Source organism: Homo sapiens, chromosome 18 (genome assembly GCF_000001405.40).
Source record: "Homo sapiens chromosome 18, GRCh38.p14 Primary Assembly".
In the NCBI taxonomy this organism is placed as follows: Eukaryota; Metazoa; Chordata; class Mammalia; order Primates; family Hominidae; genus Homo; species Homo sapiens.
In genome coordinates this window covers 47,214,268-47,232,570 of record NC_000018.10, presented here as the reverse complement: position 1 = coordinate 47,232,570, position 18,303 = coordinate 47,214,268, and the positions used below count along the sequence as shown (strand labels likewise).

Below are 18,303 nucleotides of genomic sequence, written 5' to 3'. Positions count from 1 at the left end.
AGGAGGGATGGGGTGAAAGGGAGGGGGATCCATGAGGCCTCAGAGCCCCTTTGTTTGTTCTACCACACCTCTTCAGACAGAAATGAAAAGCTTGATTAAATTATGTGAGCATTGAGGATAGGGGGTTGAATTTTTTAAAAATTCTGATTGCCTGAATGATTGGATTCTGGTTTATTTAGACCAGATTTGTAGACTCAATTCATGACTGTGGATAAAGACATTTTCTTAACTTGCCATCCTAGTCAGCATGTAAGCGAAATAGGAATAACGATCTAACCTTTATGCGCAATATAGTTTTCTTTGGTCGAGGAAGAGCAGTTAAGAGATATCAGCAAGCAAGTCACTGTTTACAAACTAATATAAGTTAACTTATTTTGTCTCTGTTTTAAGTTGATTTTTAATTTTTTTTTACTTTTTATTTTATTTATTTATTTGTTTTTTTGAGACAGGGTCACCCAGGCTGGAGTGCAGTAGTGCAATCACAGCTCACTACAGCCTCAATCTCCTGGGCTCAAGTGATCCTCCCACCTTAGCCTCCAAGTTGCTGGAACTACAGGTGCACATCACCACATTCAGCTAATTTTTCTATTTTTGTAGGGACAAGGTTTTGCCATGTTACCCAGGTTGGTCTCGAACTCCTGGCCTCAAGCAATCCTCCCGCCTCAGCCTCCCAATTACAGATGTGAGTCACCACACCTAGCTTTAAGTTGATTTTTTTTTTTTTTTTGAGATGGAGTTTCGCTCTTGTTGCCCAGGCTGGAGTGCAAAGGTGTGATCTCAGCTCACCGCAACCTCCGCCTCCCGGGTTCAAGTGATTCTTCTGCCTCAGCCTCTCGAGTAGCTAGGATTACAGGCATGCACCACCACGCCCAGCTAATTTTGTATTTTTCATAGAGACGGGGTTTCTCCATGTTGGTCAGGCTGGTCTTGAACTCCTGACGTCAAGTGATCTGCCCGCCTCGGCATCCCAAAGTGCTGGGATTATAGGCGTGAGCCACCGCGCCCGGCCCAAGTTGTTTTTTTTAAAAAAAAACAAACTATCAATTATTAGGGAACCCCTCCAGGCTTATCATTTACAACTCAAAGCCTCCTCACATTTCTTTTTCAGTGTCCCAAATTTTGATGGCCCGAGAAGGCTGGGCACCTGCCTCTAGTCTTGAGAACCTTTCCATTCAAACCAAGCTTCCTCCCTTCAAGGAGCAGTGGGACTCCAATCAGATTTCTACCAGAAATCTTGACTATCCAGACTCCTCTTTTGCCCATTCTAGCAATTTCCTTCCTTGTAAAGATGGATGGCGGTAGGGGGTTGGAGAGGGAATAACTTCAAGAATCTGCTTTTCGGGAGCTGCCATCACAGGCCAGGCAGGCTCTGCCCTCCTTTTCTGCACCTCCCCTCCGTGTTTCAGGAGGATTATATGCGAATAAATGAGGACAACATTTGGTTATGAGGACTTCCAATTTCAGGTTATATTAAATAAACTGTTTTGCAGATATTAAAAGAAAATGTAAAGGAAAACTTACAGAACTAGCCTACACAAAACTAATAGTATTTTTCCTGCTTTTTTAAAAGGTGAACATACACAAGAAACCAACTCACCTCATTCACTGAAAAAGGATGTAGAAAATATGGGGAAAGGTAAATGAAAGTTTCAATTCTGTAGAACTTCTCTTAGCTTTAAACGACTGTGGAGATAATAGGAGGATATTTTTGTTCTCCACCATATTTTTAGCTTGACAAGCAACATATGAATAATATATGGACCATTGGGTGGATATAATTGAGATTAATGCATACATATCAATCAATACATGACACTGTAATATAATACTTTAAAATAATATATTACATTGATTTATATTCATGGATTTCTGCACAAAATCTATCCTATGTCTATGCAACACTTTTTAAACTGGTAAAATATTTTGTCTTATAATAATAAATTGCCATATATAACAGTTCTCTGGAGAGTTATTTGTAAAGATTAGTAAAATGACTCTTCTTTTTTTTATTAGAAGAACTTCAGAAGGTTTTATTTGAACAAATAGATTTACGGAGACGACTGGAACAAGAATTCCAGGTGTTAAAAGGAAACACATCTTTCCCAGTATTCAGTAAGAAATCACTTTTATTTCATTGTATTTATGATAATTGATTACGTTTCTATTATTAGGCTTAAGAATGTGATTCTAAGTATTAAGCGATTGTGCAAAACACACACAGTCTTCCCATGGTCTGCCTAAATATTCATAAATTTTAGTTTTATTTAGGCTTTGAATTGACTCACAGATAAAATTTCTTCCAAGAACCTTTTGGTATTTGTGTATGGATATATGTGTATCTGTATGTGCATGTTGTACGTATTTTAAAATGTGTGTAAATATATAATTAAATATGTAAATATATTTAAATATTTAGATATAGTTCGATTATAGATTTTAAAACAAAAGAACTACTTTGTATTTACATTCTCTAAAGTAGGGAAAACAAGAAAAAGTTAACTTTCATTCTCAGATTGTTCCTGATAGCTTCCTGATGCTTGAGATATGTATAAATATGAAAATCTAAACTTTAAAGGCTCAGTATACACAATCTATTTTATTAAATGAAATTGTTATAATTTTAGTAGTTTTAGATTTCCCATCCATATTTAATGTTAAAATTCCATTCTGAATTTAGAGGCAGGAGATATTGTAGCCTAAAAACTGTTAGTTCTACTCCCAGAGTCTTGGAATTTCCTAAAACTTTATGGTAGGTGTCCAGATTTTTAAAATTCACCTGCCCTGGTCTGGGTCACATCTGGACAAATACATCCCAGTAGTGTTTTTCAAGCTTTCCGGACTTTGATTTAGTCATATTACCTCTCCAGAGAAAGGAAAGTGGGAAAATAGTATGCAAACTTATTTTTTTTTTCTTTTTGAGATGGAGTCTTGCTCTGTCACCCAGGCTGGAGTGCAGTGGCACAATCTCAGCTCACTGCAACCTCTGCCACCTGGGTTCAAGCAATTCTCCTGTCTCAGCCTCCGGAGTAGCTGGTACTACAGGCACACACCACTACACCTGGCTAATTTTTGCATTTTTAGTAGAGGCAGAGTTTCACCATATTGGTCAGGCAGGTCTCGAACTCCTGACCTCAGGTGATCCGCCCACCTCGGCCTCCCAAAGTGCTGGGATTACAGGCATGAGCCACTGTGCCTGGCCTGCAAACTTATTTTTCTAATTATATATATTTAAAATTAATTTTTTCCAGGGCACTTTTTTAGAATGTCAGCATGCTTCTTGTTATTAATCCAGAAATCACAAAACTCAAGTTGGCAATTCCTGTGCCAGATGATTCCTGTATCAGCATCTGGAAGATTTTTAAATAATTATGATAATTTCAATAATGTCAGCCTGAAGGTCTTCATTCATTAGGGCTTCCTAAATGTAATCACTGGCACAACTGAATGACACACTTAGGTAGCATTTTTGAATAGCACCAGGTTCCTGGTAACATGTCAAACTAAATTTGACCAGAACATTTAGTGAGGATTCAAAATGTAGAGGTAACTGCATGATGGAAGAGAACTCTGACCACAAGGAATGGGAGGGTCTGCAAAGTGTGTCCTCTCTGCATACTCCAAAGGAGGCTGGAGCTCATGGTACTTCAGTTATTTTGAATTCAGAGAATGCCTGCAGGGCTTTAGAATGAGACTGAAAGAAGGAGAATGGCCAATAGCTTTTGATAGCATAATTAGGAATATTGTGATACTTATAGCTTTGAGAAAAGGAGAAACATTTAAAATATCTTTGAAACCATAAGAAACAGGTGCTTTGAAAGGATCTAGGATTCTCTAACTTTTGAAACTGTATCTTAAGAAAGACTGCACAGTTCCTTGCCCCCAATGAGAGGCATTGAATACGTTTTCCCAATAGCTGATGTTTATCTAATTGTTGAGTTTGCAAGTCCCTGCTTTTAGATCTAGCAGAGTGGGTCCAAGTCCCATTGAATCCCTAACATGCCCTTCTAACTCCCTATGAAACCTCTGTAGTCATAATTCATCCCATTAATAAAAGCCAATTCATATTCATTCTAAGGAATTAAGTAATCCATAATAATTTATATTTTTCATAGTAACTGCTCTGTAGTACATGTTTCCGTTAAACAAAATGTTAGAATGTTACAGTACTGGCCAGTTTCAATTCAGACCTCTCATTCATCATTTTGATGTGCACTAATATGTATCCTCTGTGATTGCCACATGTATGAAACACTTCAATTAAACAGTAACAAAAAAAATTTTCCTCTTTTTCATCTGCAACATACTCCACTGACCAAGGAAGTGGCATGTGTGTGCCCAAGTTTAAATAATGCGTGGTTTAGATACACCACAAAGAGGCAGTCAATTTCACACGGATGAAAATAGCAAATGCACATTATGTGCTTGTTAACTAAATGTGAGGGGCCGTGAGGCTAGGGGACAGATTTAGATTCACTCAGATGAAAAGGGGAAAACCAAGATTTGCAAAGCCTCATCGGAAAGAAGCATAGAGGAATTCTCGTGAGAGTTTTGCAAAGCTTTTTACTAGGAGGTGAACAGATGCTCACAGTCACCACACTTAAAATCCAGTTCACTTAGAGCACTGTGGACCTAGGCTAGGAGCTGTAGCATGTGAGAATTAAGAATCTAGGCTCAAAAATCGACCAGACCTGAGTTCACTTTCAGGCTCTGCTACTTGCTGGTTGTATGACCTTGGAAACTGTAAAATGGGGCAAATAATTCCTGTCGCTTAGAAGAATGAGAGGACTGAATGAGAGACCTATGTGAAGTGCTGTGCACATGCTGGGCACAGGATAAGTACAATTATGATGGTGATTATGAAGCAGAAAGAAGAAAAGGAGAGGAACAGCACTGAGCTCTAGAAAAGCATTTCTAAACTTGGGTCCAAATTTTTGGCTTCTGGCCAGGCACAGTGGCTTACGCCTGTAATCCTAGCACTTTGGGAGGCTGAGCCAGGCAGATCACTTGAGGTCAGGAGTTTGAGACCAGCCTGGCCAACATGGTGAAACCTCGTCTGTACCAGAAATATAAAAAATTAGCTGGTGTGGTGGTATGAATCCCAGCTACTCAGGAGGCTGAAGCAGGAGAATCACTTGAACCCGGGAGGCAGAGGTTGCAGTGAGCCGAGATCACGCCACTGCCCTCCAGCCTGGACAACACAGGGAGACTCCGTCTCCAAAAAAAAAAAAAAAAAAAAAAAAAAAATTGGCTTCTTGTCGTGGTTCCAAGGGTTAATGAGGACCACAGGAATGGTCGTAAGAATGGAGAGGGTACAAATAAAGATAACAGAGAGGAGGGGCAGGTGGAGGAGGAGGAGGAGGAAGGGTAGAGGGAAAAAGGAGAAGGAGGAGGAAGAGGCAGGAAAGGAGGAAGAAGGAGGAAGATGGAGGAGAAGAAACAAGTCTCCACATTTGGGGAGCAGCAGTTGGGAGGAGGAAGAGAAACAAGCAAGTCTCTGCGCTTGCTGGAACAGAGGCTTCCAGAGCTGCTCTCCACTGATACTTATGCATAGCCCTGATGGGGAAATCTGGGGAGGAGAAAGCAAGGCAAGGCAGGCATTTGCCATTACAGCAGAGGCAGAGAAGTATGGCAGGTCATAGAGAGGGTTCCAGGTGTGGATGCTGACTGCTCTACTCACTGGCTGAGTAACCTTAGGAAAATTCCCTGATCTCTTTTCAACACTATAACAATACTACTACCTACCTCTTGGGGTTGTGGAGAGGATTAAATGAGTGAAAGGCATGAAGTGCTTAGCATAGTGACAAATGAATAGTAATTACTATTAAATGTGAGTTGTTGCTACTATATACTGTTTTAAAGTTTGATGCTGACATTCTTGTAGTGACTGTATAGTAAACCAGCTAATGTAAGAAACCAGAACTTGTAAAGGTTTATTGAGCTGTCACTATAGAGGGAGGAACAGGGAGTGAAACTTGTTTTAATACTAAACAATAAGTTTAATCAACGAACCGGGTAGGACACAACAGAGAGGTAGGGAGGATATACTAAGGAAAAAGGAGAAGCTGGAATTGAGTGGGAGTAGGTGTTTGGGGAAATGGATTAGGAGGGGCCCCACCATTATCAAGGTTACTTTGAGATGACAATAGGATGGCTGGTCAAACATGTTTTGCAATGAAAATCATGTTCAGTTGGACAGGTTAAATTATTAAAGGTAACTCCCAATTCCACCATTCCAAACTCCCTCACTCACACTGGTCTGATCATTTTTGCAGCTGTAAATCCAGAAGTTATGTTTGCCACTGCATTATGTACACCTTCCCCAGCAATTGTATCTCTTCTTCCTCTCTTTTCCTCCAGCACCCTATGCCTTCCTTTATTACAGCATTCATCGTTTTGCTGTAGTTTTTATTCATTTTTATTTCTTCCCATTAGCCATCTTAAAACCTCAGAGCCTAGCCCCAAACCTGGGACCTGCTAAAGGTGGCAATGAATGGAGAAGGCCGTCACCAGCAGGGTGGCCTGCATCCTCACCTCCCTTCTCCACTCCAGCCCTTTCTGCCTGCTGCTCTTAGCCCTGTCTTCCTAAAACTCTAGATTTGGCACAAAATCTTCACCTCAAGAAGCTAGAACGATTTGCACTGTGTATCATGGTATATCTAAGTTAACTGACTCTCAAAACCTGTCATAATTGTGTGCCCCTCCCCCAACCTCTCCACCCTTATTTCTGCTTCTCCCCCGGCTCAGCTCCAGTTACCTGGCAGACCACTCTCACCCCTCTCCCTCCACCTCTGCACACCGTGTTCCTCTAGTCCAGAGCGCCTCCCCTCATCCAAGTCCTCCTTCTTATCTGGAGCACAGCTAAAGTTTTGCCACATCCAAGAAGCCTTTCCACTCTTGCAGTAGGCACGATTTTCTGAAGTCCTGTTGTGTTCATTTCTAGTACCATGAGTTTTCTGTGTTGACTCCTCCTCTGTTTCACTCGTGTTACTCTCCACTCCCCCAACCCACATTGTAAATAGATTCAGGGAAGAGCTACCCAGAATGTTCTTCTGTTGCCACCTGCAGCACCTGGCATATTGTGGGTATGTAGCATACTCTCAATAAATGATTGATAGGAACATTGGGGTTATACCCAAAGAGATTAAAACTGACAATGGAGGATGGAATTGGATCACTGAAGACTTGTATAAAGGTGAGTATCCAGGGCTCATGAGTTGAATCCTTAGATTTGCAGATCTAGTGACAAATTCATGGCACTTACAAGAACTGAGTGGAAAGGCCAGTTGGTTATTACAGGAAAGCACTAATGAATGGGGCTTTATGAAAAATGTTAGATTTCATCTAAAATGTCATCATTTTAGATTCTTATAAAAAATTGCTCTTCCAAATTACTGTTAAGAGTCCTTGTTATTAAAAACAAACTACATCTCATCTCCCTGAATATGGTTGTCTGCATCTTTCATCTGTGGCCATTATTGAATTCATTTTATGTTCAGTGGTTCCCTTCCTTCCTTCCTTCTTCTTTCTTTTTGTAGCATACTCTGGGAGATGAAGTGCAGGGTCGGGGTGGCAGGGCAGATTCCAAAATACTGTACAGATTAAACTCCTTTCAGTAGAAGATGGCTATGAAAAAAATTTTTTTTTAAGTTTTGGCTGGGCACAGTGGCTCAGGTCTGTAATCTCAGCACTTTGGGAAGTCGAGGCAGGAGGATTGCTTGAGCCCAGAAGTTTGAGATCAGCCTGGGCAACATACTGGGACCCTGTCTCTACACAAACACATACACACAAATTAGCCAAGTGTGGTGGCATGCACAGGTAGTCCCAGCTACTAAGGAGGCAGAGATGGGAGGATCACTTGAACCCAGGAGGTCAAGGCTGCAGTGAGCTCTGGTCACACCAGTGCACTCAAGCCTGGGTGACAGAGCAAGACCCTGTCTCAAAAAAAAAAAAGTTCAATGGTTCTTTAAAAATAGAGATAACAAAATGAAGACATTTGTAAACAAATTGAACCCCAAAGCCCACTGCTTGCTTAGAACATTCCAGGTGAACCAGATGTGAACCAGATGTACCCTATGGGTTTGTCTTCTTACTTATGGTTCTAGGAATGTAGGCTAGATACTTTTTATTGCTGTTTGGAAAACCCTTTGGCTTTTCCAGCTGTCTGAGTTTGCAGTGTGCAGCCTTGCTGTTGTGTTGGCTGACATGCTGCACTTCAGTGCTCTTCTTTGCTACTTCCTTTCGTATTATCATTTTCCAAAAATAGTTGGGTTATAAGTGATTCTCATTACAGAAGTTGGCTTAATGATTTTTTCCATCTCCAATTAAACTCTGTCTTCATCAACCTTTAGAACATAGAAAAAATATGGTCGGGCGTGGTGGCTCATCCTGTAGTCCCAGTACTTTGGGAGGCCAAGGCAGGTGGATCACTTGAGGTCAGGAGTTTGAGAGCACCCTGGCCAATATGGTGAAACCCCATCTCTACCAAAAATACAAAAAAAGTAGCCAGGCATGGTGGTGCATGCCTGTAACCCCAGCTACTCGGGAGGCTGAGGCAGGAGAATCGCTTGAACCCAGGAGGCAGAGGTTGTAGCAAGCTGAGATCATGCCACGGCACTCCAGCCTGGGCGACAGAGTGAGACTCTGCCTCAAATTTAAAAAAAAAAAAAAGAACATAGAAAAAATTTTAGATTTTTGTATGTTTGCCAATTAACAATCTTTATATCTCAAAAGCTATACACATCCTTGTTGTGGAAAATTTTAAGTATGCAGAAATAAAAAGGAAAGGAAACAAAAATCACCCATAATCTTGCCACCTAGAGATAACCAATGTTAACATTTTGGAGTTTCAGCCTTTTTAAATGCTTGTTAAATGCTTTTATAAAACAAAATGAAATGTAATACACAACATTTTTTACTTCCTTTTTGTTTTAGCTAAAATGTGCCTCGTTCTGTTACTACACAGCAGTGTATAAATATACTGTTATGTTGGACATTAAGGTTTGTCCAAGTTTTAGATAATGGACACCCTTGTAACTAAGTCTTTGCATGTATCCACTATTATTTCCTTAGGTTAAACTCCTAAAAGTGTTGTTGTGTTAAAGGGTATGAACTTTTTAAAAGTCTTAACATATAATTTCAAGTTGCTTTCCAGAAAGTTTCAACTAATTTCTGCTCCCATCTTTGGAACAGCATGTATCATCTCTTCATTTAATCTTTGCCAACTTAAGAGGAAATTTTGGTATTTCATATTATTTCCTTTTCTTTCATTGCTGGTGATGTTGAACATTTTTCATGTGTCTAGCATCCTTTCATATGTTTTGTGAATGCCCATTTATATTCTCTCCCCATATTTCTGTTGATGTGTTCATTTTCTTATTGATTTGTATAAACCCTCTTATACTAAAATGTTAATTCTTTGACATGTTGCAAGTATTTTTTGGTTTGTATCAATTACCTTTAAATGTTGACTATGGTGTTTTATGTTTGGGGAGTTTAATCTGTTTGTAATTTATTGGCATACCAAAGTTTTAAATTTCTGTCTGATCAAATCAACCAGTCTTTTCCTTTTCAGTTTTTGCCTTTTATGCTCTTCCCCACTCCAATCTTAAAAAAAAATTTGCCATTATTTCGAATACTTTAATGGCTTCTTTTTTGTTTTTCATTTTAACTTAAGGAATTATATTAAGTGTACTATCATAGAAAAATGAGCATGAGTTAAGTTAGGACTAGTTTTCATCATTCCACTCTGAATTGCCCTTAGCTGTTCCCTCCTCTAAAATTAGAATCTTCTGTGATCCCAGGGAAGTGCTCCAGCCTGGTCGGCTTCAGGCAGCCCCTCCTTCCTAATTCATCTTAGTTTACCACCCTGGTCAAAGGCATCTTGGATCCCTAGAGGCTCAGAGGAAAGTTTTCTTCTTCACAAAGGGAGCCATGCTTGCCATGTGCTCCAGTGTCTGGAACCACACTGATCTTCCTGGAGGCCTGCGGGCCACAGCGCAGGACCAAGTGTTGGAACCAGGGCAGTTTGTGGAGGGCTGGTTCCCCTGTTGCCCTGTACCCTTAGACCCACCTCTAGAGCATCCTGACCTGGTGAGGTGGATGCTAGCTCCTCACATGGTACCTTTCGCCTAATTGTTACTGGTGTAAATCAAAATCTTTCCCTCACTTCCCCTGCACAGGAAAGACAAGTGGGTGCATGAAGCCCAATCAAATCAATTTATTTTGTCACCAAAAATTTTTTCTTTTTTTTTTTTTTGAGGCAGAGTCTCACTTTGTCACTCAGACTGGAGTGCAGTGGTGCAATCTCAGCTCACTGCAGCCTCGACTTCCCAGGTGATTCTCCTACCTCAGCCTCCTGTGTAGCTGGGACTACAGTTGTGCACCTCCATGCTCAGATAATTTTTTGTATTTTTAGTAGAGACAGAGTTTTTCCATGTTTCCCAGGCTGGTCTCAAACTCCTGGGCTCAAGCAATTTTCCTGCTTCAGCCTCCCAAAGGGCTGGGATTATTGGCTTGAGCCACCACACTCGGCCTGTCATCAAAGCTTAAAATGCTAGAGCAAGAAAACACCTGAAAGAGCACATTATTTCACACCTTTGTTTCTTTAGATAAAGGTCTGAGGCTCCAGAGTGGGGTAGTTACTATAGATGGCAGAATCTCAACCTGCTGGTGGATAATTCTGTGTGTTTTTACTCCTCGTTTATTAGCTAGCCCCTGCCGTGTGCCAGGCACTGTGGTAGGCCTTAAAAATTTTTAAAGTGTCTAAACGTATCTTCCTGCCCTCTAAGAACTCAACTGTTTAGCAGGGAGACAGATGGATAACAACTAATCATAGCATGTATTATGGATGCATTAATACAGGTATGGACAGGGTGCTGGAGAAGTACAAAAAAAAATGGGTAAATAATTCTGGCAGGAGGGGCTGCAGAATTGGAGAAGACTTCCTGGAGGAGGTAGCATCTGGACTGGACTTTAAAGAAAAGGCAGTTGTTTGCTGCAAGGGCAAGACCACAGCAGGGGCAAAGGCACAGAGGCTGGAAGTATAATGCATAGTTGAGGACTGGAGAGTGGTTTGGTGGCTGGTGTGGTGCAGGGGATTTCCTCCGTGCCCTCGGCTGCAGCCAGCTGAGCCATATGCAGTTCCCCTCTCCTCCTTCCATGTCTTTATGTAGAATGCTGTTCTCCACGTGTCTGCTCAAGCAGCTCTCCCCTCTAATGTTCCCAGAATGAATGACAGCTCTTCTCTCAATCTTTGCATGGCACCACATACTTCCCTCTATTACAGTGACTTTGACATCAAAATCAGAGGTGACAGTAGGGATTGGGTCTTTTTAAAAAAATTAATTAGAACACATGTTTGGGGTTGGATAAGAAATTCAAATAGTATGAAAAGGTAGAAGTTGAAAAAAATAAAAAGAACAAAGCCTTTTCATCTCTAAGTACCCAGAGTCTCATGAGTGGTAAAGGATTTACTATCCTGAAAGTGTTGGAAAGCCATTGGAGATTTTTAAGCAGGGAATTAAAGGTATTTGGAGAGAAAGGGACTGGTGGCAGGTGGTCAGTCGGAAAATGATTCAGGGATGAGGTGCCTGCACGTGGGAGGTAACAATGGCAAAGAGGGGAGAATATGATGGTGGAACACATAGAACTCACACACCAGTTGGCTGTGAAGATGAAAGGAAAAGGAGAAGAAAAGATAATGATGAAGTTTCTGGTTTCCTCAAGCTGCTGCCCTATCAACCACAAATTCAATAAGAAATCGTGCTCATTTCTCCTTCAGTGCAGAAAAAGGCAAAGTTAGCCACGTCCACACTTTTAAAAGGATCACGTGGAGAAGATGTAACACTAAACTGTACATTTGGAAGTCATTTTTTCCCTAATGCAATAAATATGGTCAATATGTAGAATAGCAAAAATATTTTGCATGACAATATCTCTTAAAGTTCTCTTCTTCTCAGATTAAGGTAAGGTCTGTAGAAAGGCACCAGGACAAAGCAGGAACATAAAATAAGGCTGATCCCAGGGTGAGAGAGTTTGCTGCACAGGGGAGTCAGGCCGAAGTATTCTCTCTTAGGAGTGAGATGAGCTGCAGTGAAGCCAGGCAGGCATTTTTCACAGACTCACATCTTATTTACCCGGAAGGTATTATGTGCAGGAGGGGCAGCATTTCCCATGCTCAGCTCTATCTGAGGCCTGCCCTACTGACTCTTGCTGGACTTCTGAAGACAGTGGAAGCTCCCAATACCTGTGATTTGCACAAGTGTGCAAAGGTTAAAGAACATGATTGTGTGGGATATTTCTGTGTAATCATATGCAAGAGATTATACTAGATGGAATATGAGATACTGTAAAATATAAGACACACTCAGAATTTACTGTCTAGTCTGATTAAATTATAGAGTGTTGAAAACATTCTTCAAACAAGCATATAATTTGCCTATGAAAAAAATACTTAAAAGTAGGGGGGCTGTCCATGGGACTGTCAATAATGTTTTTACTAGCTAAACTAAAAGTAGATTTTACACTTTAGTTAATCTTTCTCTATCTCTCTCTCCTACCAGATAATTTTCAGGATCAGATGAAAAGGGAGCTAGCCTACCGAGAAGAAATGGTGCAACAGTTACAAATTGTAAGCTGCATTTCTACTTAAAAATAAATGCAACTTAATTGGTTTGTTTTCAGACTACCCAATATGTATGAAACTGTTCACGTTTTTGCATGAAATCCTTTGGTCCACTTACCTCTCAGCTGGCTTAGATGCTAATTACCAAGAGATTTACTTAGACACAGGATAAACAGATGTGGCAGTATGTTTCCTCTAAATGTAACTACCTACCATGTGTTAATAGACAGATGTGTAAATTATCTCTGTGGGTAAACCAAAGGTACCTGCATTTTCTTCCATTATGCAAACTTCCCAAACACAGTGCTGGGCTATGCTACGAGCTCAGTGAAGGGCAACTGTCTTCCATCCTCTCTTCCTTTCACTACCCACACTTGAGCCAGGCCCTCCACTACCAATAAAACACAATTAATGAGCACAATTAATCAACTAAATTCACTTGAAGGATGATGAAAAGAAACAAATGATTTCCAAATGAAATGTATTACTCTATCCTAATCATTTCTAAAAATGGACACTCACTAAGATCTATTTATATGGAAAAAAAAAACAGGAAGATGTCTGATAAGTAAATGTAGTGGTTTTGTTTTGGGTTTTTGTTTGCTTTCTGAATTTCTTGCCCTTTGTCCCCATGTAGATACATCTAGTACTATTCATTAGGGCTTTTAAAGGAGTCTCCCAAGCCTCCTCATTTTTGTGAGTACAATGGAGAAAATTATTTCTGCTCAATATTTTCAAGATATATTTAATCACCTGGATAAAAACACATATTGATCCTTAGTGCTATTCTCAGCATAATTATTATACTTTGGGTTTCTTGACATTTCTGTACTGATCCGTGCTACCTTTCAACCATTAATCATGGATCCATGCATATGTGCCTGTCTTGTCTACAGAGCCAGATATCTAGTTCCTTTGTCAGGATTATTTAAGAAAGATAGTTATTAATGTTTCCATTCATTGGAGAAATCATGCCAGTGTTAGTGGAGATTCCTAAGGGTCATTTTTGCAGCAATTGGTTTTCCTTGATCTCAAGTGATCGTTAACAACTCTCAGTTCTGAAAACCACTACATAAGATGCTGCTTAAACAAGATTTTCTTCTCATGTTGGTTTTGTTTGCACCTGAATTCACTTGGGAGCAGAGGATTTTCATAATTGATTTAATAACAAATTCCCATTCTTAGCTTTTGATTCCTTGATAATAAGAGCTATAATTACTGCTGTGAATGTATTTATTGTATTCTCTGTTTAAAGGAAAAATTTAAATAAAAGATTCGATGTAGGGGAATATAAAATTTTAACACCTTCCTTATTTTACAAAGGACATCATTTTCAGATTTTTTTTTTTTTTTTTTTTTGAGACAGGGTCTCACTCTGCTGCACAGGCTGGAGTGCAGTGGTACAATCATAGCTCACTGCAGCCTCCAACTCCTGGGCTCAAGCAATCCTCCCACCTCAGCCTCCCAAATAGCTGGAACTGCAGGTGTGCACCACCACACCCGATTAATTTTTTAATTTTTTGTTGAGACAGGGTCTTTCTGTGTTGCCCAGGGTGGTCTTAAACTTCTGGCCTCCAGCAATCCTCCCACCTGGGCCTCCTAAAGTGCTGGGATTACAGGCATGAACCACTGCACCCAGCCCATTTTCATACTCTTAAAACAAAAGAAAATAATTGCCACACTTGCAACAAAAAAATTGTGATTTCAGGGGGTGGTGGTGAGTATAGCAAAATGGGCATTAGGAAAGGAAACAGTATTTCTTTTAGTGCCCTTATTTAAGGCCAGTTATGTGACCTTAATGTCTTAATTTTCTTTGGCATTTGGTTTCTTTAGTAAAAGAGGAAATTATATTGTCTCCATGTACTAAGCAGATAGGATTGATAGAACAAAAAAATATCTCATGTCTTTTGAGATATTTGGTACATGGAAGATTAAAACTGGTATTACCAAATCATTTTATTATGCTGTCTTATAAAATATTTTACAACATGTATTCATCTATCTAGACAAATGTTGTTAATTCACATTCCTATAGATAGTAAACTATTCCTGGTAGCAAATTAAATAATTTGGGAAAAGCTTGAATTTCCCACCCCCACCCTCCTGCCCTTGTAGGTATCATATAATTCCTGAAATACACAAAGCTGCTTCCAGGGTAACAACATGAAAATTGGTGAAATCGACATGATTTGTCCCTCCTGCTTCTTCCCCTTTTTGTGTGTCCCCTACCATTAGATGCCCAAGGTTTTCCTGCTGACTCCAGTACCTATCACAGTGTGCAGCATCAAACAGCTGTTCATAAACATTTGTTGAATGAATCACCACCCATGATGATCCTGACCCAGCTCTGATACTCTCATATAGCAGTCCTCTTAATTCTTTTCCAAATTTCCCTGGCTTGGTCCTGGTTTCCTCAAATGTTATTTTACACTAAGCAAATACTACTACCACAACTCCTAAAGGAAGGAATACTAGCAAATTTTGGGGAGCTTCTGTATTACTGCTCTGTCTGCACCTAACAGAGATGAGCTTTAACATCTGTAACTTGGGATTGAGACCCATCCCATATAGTTCATTAAGTGTCAGTTCCTCAACCAAAATGAACGGCTATAAGGTTTAACCTAGGGCCTTGGTAGGAATATTATAAGGTGCAAGTGAGTAATAAACATGAAATGTACATACAAGCCATAATATGCTATGCCAATGTGAGTAATCAATTTAATGGTGTGGCCCTTCTCAAAGTAGTACCTACAATAGTGGAACTATTACAGGTGTAAGCCACCATGCCCATCCGGCTAGATATATTTTTGTGCAGGAAGGACCTATGTTTACATGGTACTATCTGCTTTAGAATTGAGGCTGCAGATTCAGTGTTACTTGAACAGAAATGTGTCTAATTCCTTATTCAGCCTGATGTATCTGTCAAAGTACCTGGGGGAAAATGTCTTTAGAAAATTCTATCTAAAGATTATCAAGAAATTGTAAAATATCACAATTACTGGCTTTCTGAATATTTTAGTTGGATGATCTTATTCATCAGTCAATATGGTTGCATGCTTTGCTTCCTGAAAACAGAACAGTTCACTCAAATTATTTTATATTTAAAGTTTACAGAGCATATATTACAAAACAGGCTTTTTTTTTCTTGAGATGACATAAAAGCCCACTCTATCTTGCAGTCAAGGAGAATTCAAATATATTAAAACCATCATATTTTGTAATGATTCCCAAAGACCCACAATGCATTTATCCTATGTTGTTAAAAAGTGTTTCTATTCAAAAAACTTATATTGAAAGCGTCTTGGGTATCATTGCCATAGAAAGAAAACTTATGAATTTCTTTGGCTCCTGCATTTTTAGATTCTCTGTTGACTGTCATTTCTGCACCATTGCTTCTTTTTCCCGTGTTAAATGTAAAGTTGTGATGACTACAGAGTCAAATGATTGACTCTCTTTGTGTCTTTATAAATGAATGTGTACTTATCTCAATGTGAGATTTAAAACAGTGAGGAATTAGTTAACATTTATACATGGTATAAGCTACCTTTTTAAAAAATAGCTCAAAATTTGGGTATTTTAGTATTTAACGTGGTTTGTGTTAAAGTCCCCCACCCCTGCCCTGGGTTTTTAAGTGCTTATAGCATTTGTATTACTAAGCCACATTTAGTTATGCAAAACAAAGAAATATTTTTCTATCCCTATGAACCAATACAAAAGTTTTTTAATTTAGCATGTTTATAAAAATGTAAATGTTTAGTGTAATAAAGGGTAAAGGATTTCTCATTCACAAATGAATTATGATTCTAGGACAAGTTTATTCAATTTTAAAAGCAAAACTTAACAGTCCTTAGGCTGAAGAAGCTGACTGAAGATTTTTATTCAGTGAATAGCTTTTTGATTAAAGTTTTTCCAAGGACTGGAATATAAAAACTTACAACATGAGCTGAGACTGTGATGATGCCTTGATAACCTTTTTTTATTATGAATTTGGCAATAATTTTATAAGCAAGTGCATCTGTGTATAAGCTACTACTGTAGATTTGTTGAAGACATGCTTTTTTATTTTTTAGTCATAGTTCTTGGAGAACGTTGTGATGCTGCAACACAGAGCACATGATAAATGGCTAGACCCAGATTCACATCCTTTGAACTTGTCAGATCACTACCACAAGGCGTGTTGATGGGGAAAATGTGCTAGTCTTTAAGTGCCCTCTGCTGTTTTTCCAGAATTCTGCAGTCACACGCAGCTAGGGGGAATTGGTCTCAAAGTTCTTCATTAAAAGCCTCAATTAAAATAATGTTCAATCAATAGATTAAGGACTAATGTTTTGTTCACGGTGGACTTGTAAAACAGCAGTTTACAACTTCCTGATGATGGGAGTGCAGTGCATCGTCACAGGGAAAGGAGTGAGAGGTCGTTATCTTTGCTGGAGGAGTGCTTGTTCTTTGGCAAGGACACAGCTCTTCAGTAAGATGGTCTTTTCTTGGAGGTTCTCCAATATTCATTAGGATGGGAACTTGCCCAGATTTCTACTGTATAACCTACAGAGTTTGTAAAAATATGTCTTACATCTTTTTTTTAAAAAAAGGTAGATAGGACCATTACTATTTTGCATTATATTTTTAGAAGAAGATCCCTGGGCCACTAGAAGATTTTGGTTCTGTGTCTAAATATGCATCAAAAGGAGATCCCTGCAAGTCAGAAGACTTAATGCAAGCCTGAACTTCTGTGGAGGCTGCCTTAAAATTCTCTAGCAGTAGACAGACTTTGGCTACTGTGTGTCCATTTCCAATTATTGATCTACTGTTGTGCACCTTGACAGTGCAATCAGTTGTTCCTTAGTTATGTAGCATTTTTCTTCTCATCTTTCTCTTTTTGAGATGTTGACTGACCTGAATGTGTGAGCTCAGGTTAACTCTTTTGGCACAAACTAGGAAGTCACTTTTTTTTTTTAAACTCCAGTACTTTTGATCTACTATAACCAAGTAGGTAATTTAGAAGTTACATAATACTTTGAATTTTTTTTCTCCATGCCAATCTCGGTAATTTCTAAGCTGGTCAAGATGAAAAGAAAGCTTTTGTAAGTCCTATTGTAGGAGATTTGCATGGAATAACTAACTAGTTTAAATTGAGCCTCTAAAATCCTGAGCTTCCAAGTTGGGGAGAATTTGCTGAAGTGTCTGCAAGTCCAATGTTGCATTTTATGGAATCTGAAGCACCATCAATTGTAAGAGGCACCACTATTTGATGAATCATAAAGTAAAAGGTTTCAACTGTAATTCTAATACATCTGATTTCAGAAATGTTAAAATGTGAGGGGATAAAGTGCATCCTGGAATCAGTGAAATAATGTTGTTTCCAGGAACAACTGGCCATGCTACTATAATCTTTATTTACCATTCATGATTTAGGACTTAGAATGGAAAAATACATGATTCTCAGCTCATTACTTTTTGCTTTTTATCTTTGTTGTTTTTTGGCTTTTATTTCATTTTGTTTTAATGAAATAAATGAAAAAATCAACATTCTAGTAGGGATAATTCTTCACCCCAGTTTAAATTCCAATCTGGACCCTTGGGACTCAAATATGCTTATTTGGAAATGTCCTTTTTTTCTTGAGTCCTTTTTTTGCTTTTCTTTTCCTTCTCAACTTTCTACCTTAATGAAATGCTGTGTTATT

At 39.1% G+C, this 18,303-nt stretch overlaps 1 protein-coding gene across 3 annotated transcripts in view; it reads left to right on the top strand.

Moving 5' to 3' along the window:
• The window catches only part of SKOR2 (SKI family transcriptional corepressor 2), a 45,492-nt gene that overhangs the window by 19,090 nt on the left and 8,099 nt on the right, over positions 1-18,303 (top strand). For 2 of the 3 annotated variants that reach the window (NM_001278063.4, XM_047437757.1), the window contains 3 exons: positions 1,571-1,636; positions 2,014-2,112; positions 12,561-12,628. In NM_001278063.4, coding sequence (NP_001264992.1) covers positions 1,571-1,636; positions 2,014-2,112; positions 12,561-12,628 — 233 coding nt within the window. Of the gene's footprint in view, positions 1-1,406; positions 1,449-1,570; positions 1,637-2,013; positions 2,113-12,560; positions 12,629-18,303 lie in introns of those variants that run through there. The other variant, NM_001037802.3, reaches the window with a different exon arrangement.